This window comes from Homo sapiens, chromosome 6 (genome assembly GCF_000001405.40).
Source record: "Homo sapiens chromosome 6, GRCh38.p14 Primary Assembly".
In the NCBI taxonomy this organism is placed as follows: Eukaryota; Metazoa; Chordata; class Mammalia; order Primates; family Hominidae; genus Homo; species Homo sapiens.
Genome location: NC_000006.12, coordinates 154,066,088 through 154,078,826, shown reverse-complemented (window position 1 = coordinate 154,078,826; position 12,739 = coordinate 154,066,088). Strand labels below are relative to the sequence as shown.

At 37.4% G+C, this 12,739-nt stretch overlaps 1 protein-coding gene across 21 annotated transcripts in view; it reads right to left on the bottom strand.

Annotated features, from left to right (window-relative positions):
• Positions 1–12,739, bottom strand: part of OPRM1 (opioid receptor mu 1) — a 236,372-nt gene that overhangs the window by 168,041 nt on the left and 55,592 nt on the right. Inside the window, exon 2 of one of the 21 annotated variants that reach the window (XM_047418837.1) lies at positions 3,281–3,353. The exons of 19 other annotated variants lie outside the window; for them this stretch is intronic. In XM_047418837.1, the coding sequence (XP_047274793.1) occupies positions 3,281–3,353 (73 nt within the window). Of the gene's footprint in view, positions 1–3,280; positions 3,354–4,033; positions 5,313–12,739 lie in introns of those variants that run through there. One more of the 21 variants, XM_017010907.3, reaches the window with a different exon arrangement.

Below are 12,739 nucleotides of genomic sequence, written 5' to 3'. Positions count from 1 at the left end.
GACTCACTGCAGCTTTGACCTCCTCTGTTCAAGCGATCCTCTACCTCAGCCTCCCAAGTAGCTGGGACCACAGGCATGCATCACCATGCCTGGCTAATCTTTTGTATTTTTTGTAGAGATGAGAGATGGGGTTTTGCCATGTTGCCCAGGCTGGTCTCAAATTCCTGTGCTCAAGTGGTCCTCCCTCCTTGGCCTCCCAAAATGCTGGGATTATAGGTGTGAGCTGCCACATGCAGCCTAGGATGTGTTTTTCATAATTAAGTCCAAGATTTCAGAATTCATTAAAAACATTTTCCTTTTTCATCATCTAGTTTTGCATTTTAAAGCTAAAGCTTTCAAAATTCTATAATGGAATTGACAGTCATTTGCTCTCCCTGTGGGTTCTTTTTCCCTTTCTTGGGAATACAGGCTTACTCTCATAGTCTGGTGTTAAGGGTAACAGACCTGCAGTATAAAAAGGAATTACTGAAAGGGAATATATGCAATGGATATTATTTTTATTTCTTATTTTTGCTAAGTACCTATTAGGTAACTGGTAAGGAAATTAAATAGGCAGTTGGAATATGGAGTTTAGAAGAGAGGACAGGGCTAGAGTGTGACTTTGGGAGTAGTTGACATATGGGTAGTTTATAAAGCATGGAACTGAGGAAGAAAACTTAAGGAGAAAGTATATGCACAGAAGAGAAGAGGGACTAGGTTAAAGCTCTGAGAAAGGTAGAGGAACTAAGGAATGGCCAGAGAATTTAAGCAAGAAACCCAGAGCTAGGGTTAAGGAAATCAAAAGAGGAAAGATTATCATGAAGTCTATAGTGGTCAAATTTGCGGAATGCAGAGAGACTGAGTAACAGAAATATGTTCACTGCCTTTGGCAAAATACCTGTTAATAACCTTGGCAAATTCCTTGGAGTGGTAGGGTTGGATGATAAATAGATATGAGTTAAAAAAAAAAAAGTAGATGGGGTGTGAGGATCTGGAAGCCAATGATTTAGAAAACTCTTTAGAGATATTTTGGTATGAAGAGGGAAAGAGAGACATGTGAGTTCAAGAAAGAATTTCTTTTGTTTTAGTTAATTAATTAATTAATTAATTATTTTTTTAGATGGAATCTCACTTTGTCGCCCAGGCTGGAGTGCAGTGGTGCTAGCTCGGGTCACTGCAACCTCCGCCTCGCAGGTTCAAATGATTCTCCTGCCTCAGCCTCCCAAGTAGCTGGAATTACAGGCATGTGCCACCACGCCTGGATAATTTTTGTATTTTTAGTAGAGATGGGGTTTCAGCATGTTGGCCAGGCTGGTCTTGAACTCCTGACCTCAACCAATCCGCCCACCTCAGCCTCCCAAAGTGCTGGGATTACAGGCGTGAGCCACCATACACGGCCTTATTTTGTTTTTTAAAAAACATGACTTGAAGGCTGGGCATAGTGGCTCATGCCTGTAATCCCAGCACTTTGGGAGGCCGAGGTGGGCACATCATTTGAGGCCAGGAGTTTGAGACCAGCCTGGCGAGCATGGTGAAACTCTGTCTCTAAAAACAAAACAAAACAAATCCCAGAAACCACCCCCTTATGATTTGATATACTAGAGAATTTATGTGTGCTATTAAATTATGTTGTAGCAATGGAAACTTGAAGAAGCAGGGAAAATAGAGTATGTGCAATGTCCCTGAGAAACTGAAAGGGGGTGGGGTTTGGAGCACATGTGGATTGGTTGACCTCTTCTTGATTATTACTGGCATGAAGACTGAAAATATGGGCACAGATACAGAAAAGGCTTGTAGATCTATTGAGGACTTTTTTGCCTGCTTTTATTTTTTTTCATTGAAAGCCCTCTCTTAACCGCAATTTTTTATGTTTTATAATTTTCATTTCTATTTTACTTTTCAGCAAAACTTCAAGAAAGAATCCACATTCATGGACCTGAATTCTATTGGAAAGGAACAAAATAAATATTTGTTGGATGAATAAATAAAATAAAACCCGGAAGTATCAATGAAAGGAAATGATAGAGAAGAAAATGTGAGAGATCTAGAAGAGAAGAGAACAGGAAAGTAAATTTAGCAAAGAAACATTTGCTTGGCAGTATTAGGTGCTCATTTGAGATTTGTAGTTTATAAAAAAGGAGTTAGGATGATGGATTGAAGAGCTCAGTTTTGGGGGAGGTGTCAGATTCAGGATCTGGAAAGGAAGAGGTGCTGGTCTGAAAGGTGGTGGTTCTTACAGGGGAGATTTTGGAGTTCTTGATGACCAGTTCCAAAAGTGCTGGGATTACAGGCGTGAGCCACCGTGTCTAGCCATATCTACCAATATTATGAATGATAGGTAATATGCCACTATTGTTTCAATTAACAATATACTAATTAGAGGTTGAAAATAATTTCATCTATTTCTGGGTTAATTGTACTGCCTCGTCTATGAATTTATTTTTTGACCATTTTTATTAGGTTGTCTTTTTCTCACTGATTTATAAAAATTTAAGATATATGCTGCAAATAGTTCCTCAAAGATTGCTATTGTTTAACTTTATTCATAGTGTTTTTGTCCCTTAGGAGTATTACATTTTGACTACCTGTGGTGGGTGTGTTTGTACATGTTTTTCGTAAAGGTCTTACTTATTCTGAGGTTATTAAAAATGATCTCTGAAATTTTCTTCCGATAATTTAAAAATATTGATTCTTTTACAGGGTGCATTTTGTAAACTTTGTAAAAATAATACATGCTTACTGTATAAATACACAATACAGGAAAATACAAAGAATAACATAAAAATAAAGTAAAATCCTACTACATGGAGATAGCCTTTTCGAGCATCTCCTTATACATGAGAAGAAGAGTAATGATAATGAATGTTGTCTACATGCCAAGTATTGCACTAAGTAATTCATAAAGTTGATGGGGTAGGCATTTCATCATCCCCATTTTACAGGCAAGAAAACTAAGGCTCAGAGAGATCAGCTCCCTTCCCTCAACTTGTAAAGCCAGTAAATGACAGACTGGGATTCCCCAGATGTGTTCACTGTTCCACCCTTCCTCCCTCTAACAGATGGGAAGTCTCTCAGAGGTGGGGTTGAGTCTTCCAAGTCTTCAAGCCCTCTGCATAGGAGCACTCGAAATGCTTATTTTAGGCTGAAGTGGGTGGATCACTTGAGGTCAGGAGTTTGAGACCAGCCTGGCCCAAATGGTGAAACCCCATTTCTACTAAAATTACAAAAATCAGCTATGCATGGTGGCCTGCACTCATAATCCCAGCTCTTCGGGAGGCTGAGGCAGGAGAATTGCTTGAACCTGGGAGGTGGAGGTTGCAGTCAGCCGAGATTGCGCCACTGCACTCCAGCCTGGGAGCAGAGTGAAATTCCGTCTGGAAAAAAAAAAAAAAAAAGTGCTTATTTTAGTTGGTTATATAAAAAACAGATTTAATCTCTATGAAAAGGGTACAAAAACATAATTTCATCCTTGTAATGAAAAATGCCAGTTCTTTTTACTTTGTCTCATTCCTATTGCTCACCGTATCATTTTCAATACTTGTAACTGATTATTTTGCTATTTACTTCAATGTCTCTAAAAAGCATGTTTCTAGTGTAAGTTGAGGATGTAACCTCTAAGAGAGCTAGTTTGGCTTAATTTTCAAAGTAGTTTTTGTTCACTTTGAAAATGTTACTCTATTCATTGTCTTCTTTGTGCCAAGTGTGTTGATGAAAACTCTTATTCTATTCCCTTTAAAAATATCATTTTCTCTTCTCTTATAGTACTTGCAATCTTATCTCTTTTGTATGTTCCTGAATTTTATTAAAATGTGGCAAGAATTTTTAAAAATATTTATTGTGCCTGGAACACAGAGACATCAGTTCAGTCTCATCCCTTTCTTTAGTTATAGGATGTTTGGGGCTATTATTTCTTCCAATATTGCCTCTCTTCCATTGCTTTTGTTCTCTACCTTTAATAGATACATTTTAGTTTTTCCGTGTCTATCCTTCTAGTATCTTTTGTGTTTCTTCATACTCTCCATTTCCATCCCATTTTCTTTTCTTCTTTGCTTGTCTTTTTTTTCTGTTTGTTTTTCTTTTCTTTTTTTATTTGGAGTCTTGCTCTGTCCTCCGGGCTGGAGTGCACTGGTATGATCTCAGCTCACTGCAACCTCCCACCTCCCAGGTTCAAGCAATTCTCCTGCCTCAGCCTCCCAAGTAGCTGGGACTACAGGAGTGTACCACCACGCCTGGCTAATTTTTGTATTTTTAGTAGAGACTGTGTTTCACCATCTTGGCGAGGCTGGTCTTGAACTTCTGACCTCAGGTGATTTGCCTGCCTCGGCCTCCCAAAGTGCTAGGATTACAGGTGTGAGCCACTGTGCCTGGCCTCCATCCCATTTTCTATGTTCTTCCAGCTCATTAACATGCTCTTCGCCTTCTCTCTTTCTGCTTTTCGGCTCACCCATAAAATCCTGAACGCCAAAAATTAAAGTTGTTATTTTTAGAATTTCCAATTTGTTCGTTTATTTAACAAACACTTATGTGTCAGATACTGTTCAGAGTGCTTTACTAATGCTAAATTATTTAATCCTCATACCACATATATAAGGTATATACTATGACTATCTTCATTTTACAGATGAAAAAATGAAGACACAGATTGGTTAAGTAATTTGCCCTGGAGACATCCAACTAGTGATTGTTGTCAGAGCCAGGATTGAAACCCAGGTTGTCTGGGAATTTGGTTGCTATGCTTTGCTTGTTAATAACCATCTCTTATTATTTTTGAATTGCTTCCTCCTATTTCATAGAAAAAATTCTCTCTTTTATCTATCTGAAGATGTAAAATATGACTTATTATCATTCGTTTTTCTGAGACAGGGTCTTGCTCTGTTGGCCAGGCTGGAGTGCAGTGGGACAATCTTGGCTCATTGCAACCTCCACCTCCCAGGTTCAAATGATTCTGCTGCCTCAGCCTCCCGAGTAGCTGGGATCACCACCACACTGGCTAATTTTTGTATTTTTAATAGAGACCAGTTTTTGCCATGCTGGCCAGGCTGGTCTTGAACTCCTGGCCTTAAGTGACCCAGATGCCTTGGCCTCCCAAAGTGCTGGGATTACAGGCATGAGCCACCATGCCTGATATGACTTATTTTAAAGTCCTTGTGTGACTGCTTTTTTATTCTGTTTCCTCAAGTGTAAATTCTTCTGTTTGCTGTGTTCCCACTGCTGCCCTGTCTCTTTCCTGGTGCAGTCACTCTTCAACAGTGTGATGATTATTGGCTTTGAGATGATCCTTGAAGTTAATATTCCCTGGTAGACTGTTCACTGCTTCTGCTTGTGCAGCCTGGCTGGGGATAAAGGTTAGAATTAGCTCCTGAGTTTACACACTATGCAGTTTTCAATAAAAACAGAGGATGAGATGGCTTGCAGTAGACATAATACATTAGTGGCTGGTCATCTGATTTCGATTACTTATCTTTCCTTCTAATCCTGTAGAGAAGTGCTAGTTTCCCAGGTATAGCCTAGTATCTCTGCCCTAAGTATGCATGAGGACACTGTTGCTTATGTCTAGCCTGGAAGATATAAAAGAGTAAACTAACATGCCTGCTACCACTGTGGAAGTCTGCCTCATTATGGAACATCAGTGGAGTTTGCTCCACTACCTGCAGCTTATATTGGCTGTTCTTAGTTTCAGGTATTCTTTCAGCATCTTAGTTTATCTGCAATGGGAGAACCTCCTTTCTTCTGAGTTCATGTTTCATGAGTAAAGTCATCCACCATTTCTCTGCTTTGATTTCTCTCAGTTCCATTATTCACTCCTTTCAAAAGGAGGAGTGACTTAGCTATTTTATATGTTTAAAGAATAGGATATATATAGCTTTCTCCATTTCTCTCTTTCTTTGAGATTCAGCTTCCCAAGGAAAACATAAAAGTACTCTATTTTCTAAATTTTAAAGGGGCTGGTATCCGTGTGCAGAGGTCACCAGTGGTTCAAGCAGGCAATCAGGTGGTTGAGTATGCTGCATTCTGGGATTAGAATTGGGAAGCCATTGTTACTGCACAACTTTCCATCATAAAGATATTTATCAGTAGTGACGTTGTTAATTCATTTTGTCTTATCTCTCAGTTGGTTCAAAATGGCAGAGAAAACAGGAATAACCTTTAATAGGGCCCTTTAAAATATCACATTGTTTAGTAAGAATTTTTCTGTCATTTTCATAAACTAATGTATGACTGTCCATTGATTTATTGCTTTATATTCTCTAAAAAATAGTTTCTATTGTGTTCTGGAGCTTGGGGACCAGGAGTGGAGTCTCATGCTTGTTCTCAATTAGCTATCTTGAAAATGAAAGATTGCATTCACTTTAAGCAAGTACTTAGTTTTAGTATTGAATAAAAGCAAATCTTGTGCTATCAATGAATTTGAAAATACATTTCAACCTTTTGCATTCTTGCACATGAAATCTTAGTGCTATGTAACATATGTGATGATTATAGTAGTAGTATCTGTTTTATCTATTGGTTTATAAGCTTCTGGAGTTCAGAGACCACCTTCAATCTGCACTCAACTGCCTACCTTGCTATGCCTGAGCAACATGATGCATTCTCTTGATCCTAACGGCCACATTTATATATTTGTTTAATTATGACATTCCTGATCATCTCACATTCTTAGGAGATTTCCCTCCAATAAGAATAAACCATACCTTCCCAGCTCTTGTTATCTTACCATTCCCACGTTGATTCTCATTTTTATCCCTCTCCTATTGCCAAAGAAGGAGAAGGGACAGTATATAATAGTTGAGTAATTGCGAGAAAGACCAAAAAAAAGTCCCTGACAGCTTTTGGGAAGCAGCCTGGTTGCTAACCATCAGTCTGTGGTATTCCTCTGTGGAACAAAATTCCATAGAATATAAACATCAGATGAGGACTCTCCATGATGTGATGCAACAAGACAAAAACAAGTTAACTTTGTAACCATGCCTGGAAAAGAGATAAAACCAAAATCACCCACAACCATAAAAATGCCAAGCATCTCCCTTTCCTGGTTAACATTAAGTAACCACTGCTTCTTATTGTCATTGACCACTGCTCAATGACAACTCTAGCCTTACATGCTTAATTCTTCCTCCTAGATAAAAAATTACTGATGCTCATTCATCAGATTTCTCTTGCTTTAGGACAGCACACTGTCTAGATAGACCTTTGTTTCTTTGAATCCTTTCCCAAATCACCAAATATAAACTGAAATCCCTGGGTGTTTTGTATTCCTTGCTGTAGCAAGATCAATACACCTATTTTTTTTTTAAAACTACAGGGATATTCCTGGGGGTTTTCGCTGGTGAGCATGGATAATAGAGTGTACTTGAAGATAACAAATGAGGATCAGGCTTCATGATGAGCAAGCTGACAAAAATCAGCAATTAGAGGGAAGCATTAGACATTTTCCAGTGATGCTGACAGATGGGTACAGGCCACTTAGGGGGCATTGTAGCTACATCAGCTGCTGCCTCACTGAAATCTTGGCATATATACTTATCCAGCATCTATCTGTAGCAGGCAGAAACCCACCTCAGGCAGACCTGGGGGTATGAAAGCTAGTGTTGGATACCATCTCACCTTTTTAATGAGCTGCTTCCTTCCTTCAGCAGCTATGACTACACACTGTGCCTTTAGCTGGATCTTCACCATGATCTAGGTTAAGTCTCTTTCCATATTATGCATTCCATACCTTCAAATATCAGTTAACCATGGTCTTTAGGTCTAGAAGTTATCAAAGTGAAGACCTGCTTGCTCAGTTGTAATCAAATGGCTTATACTTACAGTGAGTATTTTCAATACCTTCTAGAGGTATTTTGCACCTTACAATGTCTATCCAATGTTCCCTTAATTAAAATATTAATTGTTAAAGGATTAAGAAACAAAAACCTGCCTTTTAAGGTAGAAACATTCTTAGAGATTCCTGAGTCATACCAACTGCTTACTCATCTTAAGAGCAAAGTTGGCTCCATTAAAATGCTGTGAACCCACAGACCAATGAGTAACTAAAACTACCTTGATTTGTTAATTTCCTCCTATATTTGGCTTCTTAACCAAGTTAGGAGTAAAACGGTCCAGCATATTCTAGTAGTAAGAATATTGGGTTTGGAATTAGGATATATAAATCTGAGAACTGTGTCTGTGATGTTAGTCAAGTTGCTGAGTCCCAATTTCCATAAATGTAAAGTGGCGAAGATATTACCAAAAAATTATCTTTAAAACAAATTAAATAATAATGGAGATAGATACTGTTTTTGAGCATTATAATTAGAGCCAACATTTGTTGAATGCCAGGCATTGCTCTAAAGAGTTTACTTGGATTTTTCTTACTTGATCTTCATCACAGCCTTTCAAGATGCACCTCTTAAATAACAGTGGCAAAGATTCTGGGCAGATGGATGAGTAGAAGCATCAAGAATCTGTCTCCCCATCTAGATAAAAACTGCATTGGCATAGTCTGTCTGTTGTAAATATTTTTGAACTTTGGAGTGTTGTGGAAGGCTTGCAACTTCCAGGGGAATGCTTGACAGTAAACTTGGTTTATTTTGGTTAATTTCTGCTCTTACCTGGCTAACAGTTTTCTATCTCCCACACGAGCCTGGTGGGAGGCAGTGCATGAGCTGCAGGAGCAGCTTGCATGCAGCTTGTGGGAGCCAGGGTAGGCAATAAGAACCATGTCATCCAAATAGCAGAACCTGTGTTCTGAGTGCTGACTGTTGCTTCTGATCATGGAAGGCAGACACAAAGGCAGATAGTCATTGTTGTACCCCCTCACCTCCGAATATTACAAATTTCTTTCCCTATAGCTGAAGCAACTTCCAGGGAATTTAAATTACCAGGACCATTTCCCCCCTACTTCATTTGTTTTTCCTTCTTATCCTTTTTTGGGGGTCAGACATTAAAGACTAGGATATTCAAAAGCAACTGCATATACAAGGAAAATCAGAAAGTCACTAACAAGCCGAGGGAGAGGCACAGGCCAGAAAAAAGCCTGAGAAGACCTTAAGTTTATATCTCAGTGACTTTCAACAAAGGTGCTAAGTAAACACAATGGGGAAAGGGAAGTCTTTTCAATAAATAATGTTGGGAAAACTGGATTTCCACGTGCAGCAGAATAAAATGAGACCCTTATCTTTCACCAGATAAAGTATAAATTCAAAGTAAGTTAGCAACTTAAATGTAAGACCCCCAAACTATGAAAATGCTAAAAGAAAACATAGGAAAAAGCTTCATGACACTGGTTTCTGCAATGATTTTCTGGCTATCACCTTAAAAGCACAGGCCAGGGCTCGGCGCGGTGGCTCATGCCTGTAATCCCAGCACTTTGGGAGGCCGAGGTGGGCAGATCACGAGGTCAAGTGATCGAGACCATCCTGGCCAACATGGTGAAACCCTGTCTCTACTAAAAATACAAAAATTAGCTGGGTGTGGCGGCATGCACCTGTAATCCCTGCTACTGGGGAGGCTGAGGCAGGAGAATCACTTGAACCTGGGAGGTGGAGGTTGCAGTAAGCCAAGATCTGGCTACTGCACTCCAGCCTGGTGACAGAGCGAGACTCCATCTCAAAAAATAAAACAGGCCACAAAAACAAAATTAGACAAATAAGATTACATCAAACTAAAAAGCTTCTGCACACTGCAGGAGACAAATTACCAGAGTGAAAAGACAACATTCAAAATGGGAGAAAATATTTGCAAATTATACAGCTGATAAGGGGCTGATATCCAAAATACATAAGAAGCTCTTACAAACCAATAGCAAGAAAGCAAATAACCTAATTAACAAATGGGCAAAAGACCTGCATGGACATGTCTCAAAAGGCATACACATGGTCAACAGGTATATGAAAAAAATGTTTAACATCAGTAATCATCAGGGAAATGCGAGTCAAAACTACAATGAGATATCAGCTTGTACCTGTTGGAATGATGATTACAAAAAATACAAAAGGTAAGTGGTGGCAAGGATGGAGAGAAATGGAAATCCTCACACAATGTTGGTGGAAATGCAAATTAGTAGAGCCATTATGGAAAACACTGTGGAGGTGCTTCAAAAAACTAATTGCACAACTAACATATGATCTAGCAATCTCACTACTAGGTATATATATCCAAAGGGAACAAAATAAATATGTTGAAGAGATAGCTACGTTCCCATGTTTATTGCAGCACTATTCACAATAACCAAGATATGGAATAAATCTCAGTGTCCATTAATATATGAATGGATAAAGAAAATGTGGTATATATACACAATGGGATACGACTTAGCCATAAAAAAGAAGGGAGTCCTGTCATTTGTGACCGTGGGTCAACCTGGAGGACATAATGTTGAGTGCAATAAGCCAGGCACAGAAAGACAAATACCATATTATTTCACTCAAATGAGAAATCTACAAAATTGATCTCACACAAGTAGAGAATAGAATGGAGGCTGGGGTGGTTAGGGTGAATTGGGGTTGAGGTTATATAGATCAAAGAAGACATAATTACTGTTAGGAGGAATAAATTCAAGAGATCTATTGTACAACATGGTGACTATAGTTAATATTGAAATATGGTACTATTGAAAAATGCTGAGAGTGAATGTTGTGTTTTCATTACAGAAGTTATAACTAGCTAGATTTAACCATCCCAGAATGCATGTATACTTCAAAATATCATGTGGTACATGATTTAAGAAATTTACATCGATTACTTGTTGAAATGATAATATAGATATATGGGATTAAGTAAAATATACTATTAAAATTTAAGAAAATGCTAAAGGGAGTCTTGCAGGTTGAAAGGAAAGTACAGTAGACAATATCCAAAGTCATGCAGAGAAATAAAGGTCTCAGTAAAGGTAAATACATTGACAATTATAAATGCTAGTATTATTGCAAAAATAATTTGTAATTTAACTTTTTGTAAATAAAAAAAGTTTACAAGTGACAAAGAAAGGCATTATATGTCAATAAATGTTTCACAGCAAGAAGATATAACAATTACAAACAGTACTCAACAACAGACCATTAAAAAACATATAAAGCAAAAGTGGACAGAATTGAAGAGGGAAGGAGGTAGTGCCAATATCTTACTCTGAACAAAGGATAGAATAATCAGATGAGATAAGTAAGGAAATAGAGGACTTACAAAACACAACAAACCAACTAGGTTTAACAGATATAGACAGACTACTCTACCCAACAACAACAGAAAACATTCCTCTTACATGCACATGGAACATTTTCAAGGACAGACTATATGTTAGACCACAAATTAAATCTTAATAAATTAAAAAAATAAATATTATATACAGTATCTTCTCTGACCAAAATTGGATAAAATTAAAAAAAATCAATAACATAATAACATAAAGAAAACTGGAAAATTCACAGGTTTGTGAAAATTAAGAACACTCTTAAATAAACAATGGTTCAAAGAGAAAAATCACAAGAGAACTTAGAAAATACTTAGAGATAAATGAAAATTAAAGCACAACACACTGAAATTTTTATGATGCAGCAAAAACAGTGCTAAGGGAAAATTTGTATGTATAAATGCTTAAATTTAAAAATCTTAAGTTAACAACTTAAAAACTTAAGGAACTAGAGAAAGAACAAAGTAAGCAGAAAGCTAGCAGAAGGAAGGAAAAATTGGAGCAGAGATAAATGAAATAGAAACTAAAAAAAAATAGAGAAAGTGAACGAAGACAAAAATTGGTTTTCCAAAAATATTAGCAAAATTGGCAAATCTTTAACTAGATTGGCTAATAACAAAATAGACAATAATCAGATCACTACAATAAAATGTTGAAGTAGGCATATTACTAGTTTTTGTACATAAATAAAATGTTTACAAGAGAGTTCTATGGACAAATTATATGCCAACAAATTGGATAATCTGGATGAAATGACCAAGTTCGTAAAAACATAAAAACTACTGTAATAGTCTACTTAAGCTACTACAATAAAATACCATACATTGAGTGGTTTTAACAACAAAAATGTTTTTTGTAGTTCTGGAGGCTGGTCAATTGAAAATCAAGATGCTAACTGATTTAATTCCTGGTGAGGGATTTTTTTCCTGGCTTGCAGGTGCAGCCTTCTCACTGTGTCCTCCTGTGATCTTTCCTCTTTGCTTAAAGGAGATCTCTCTCTCTCTCTCAATTCTTATAAGACTACTAATTCCATTAATGCACTAACCTCATTAGTACCCCATCATTGTGATCTCATTTAACTTTAATTATCTCCTAAAGGCCTTACCTCCAATTACAGTCACATCAAAGTTAGGGTTTCAACAAATGATTTTTTTTGGGGGGGATGGGAGGGTGCATAATTCAATTCATAACACCTCTCAAGACTAAAGTACAAAGTAATAGAAACTATCAATAATAGGAGATTGAGCCAGTAATAAAAACATCTCCCAATAAACAAAAGCCCTGGTCCTGATGGCTTCATTGGTGAATTGTACCAAACACTTAAAAAAAATCAAATACCAATACTTCTCAAAATTTTTCAATATAACGAAGAGGAGAGAGCACTTCCTAATTAAATCTATAAGGCCAGCATTACCCTAACATCAAAGACAGACAAAGATACTACAAGAAAAGAAAACAGTAAACCAATGTCCCTTATAAAAATTGAAGCAAAAATCCTCAGCAAAATATTGTCAGACTAAATTCTACAGCATATTGAGAGGATTATACATTATAATCAACTGGGATTTATTTCTGGAATGAAAGGATGGTTCA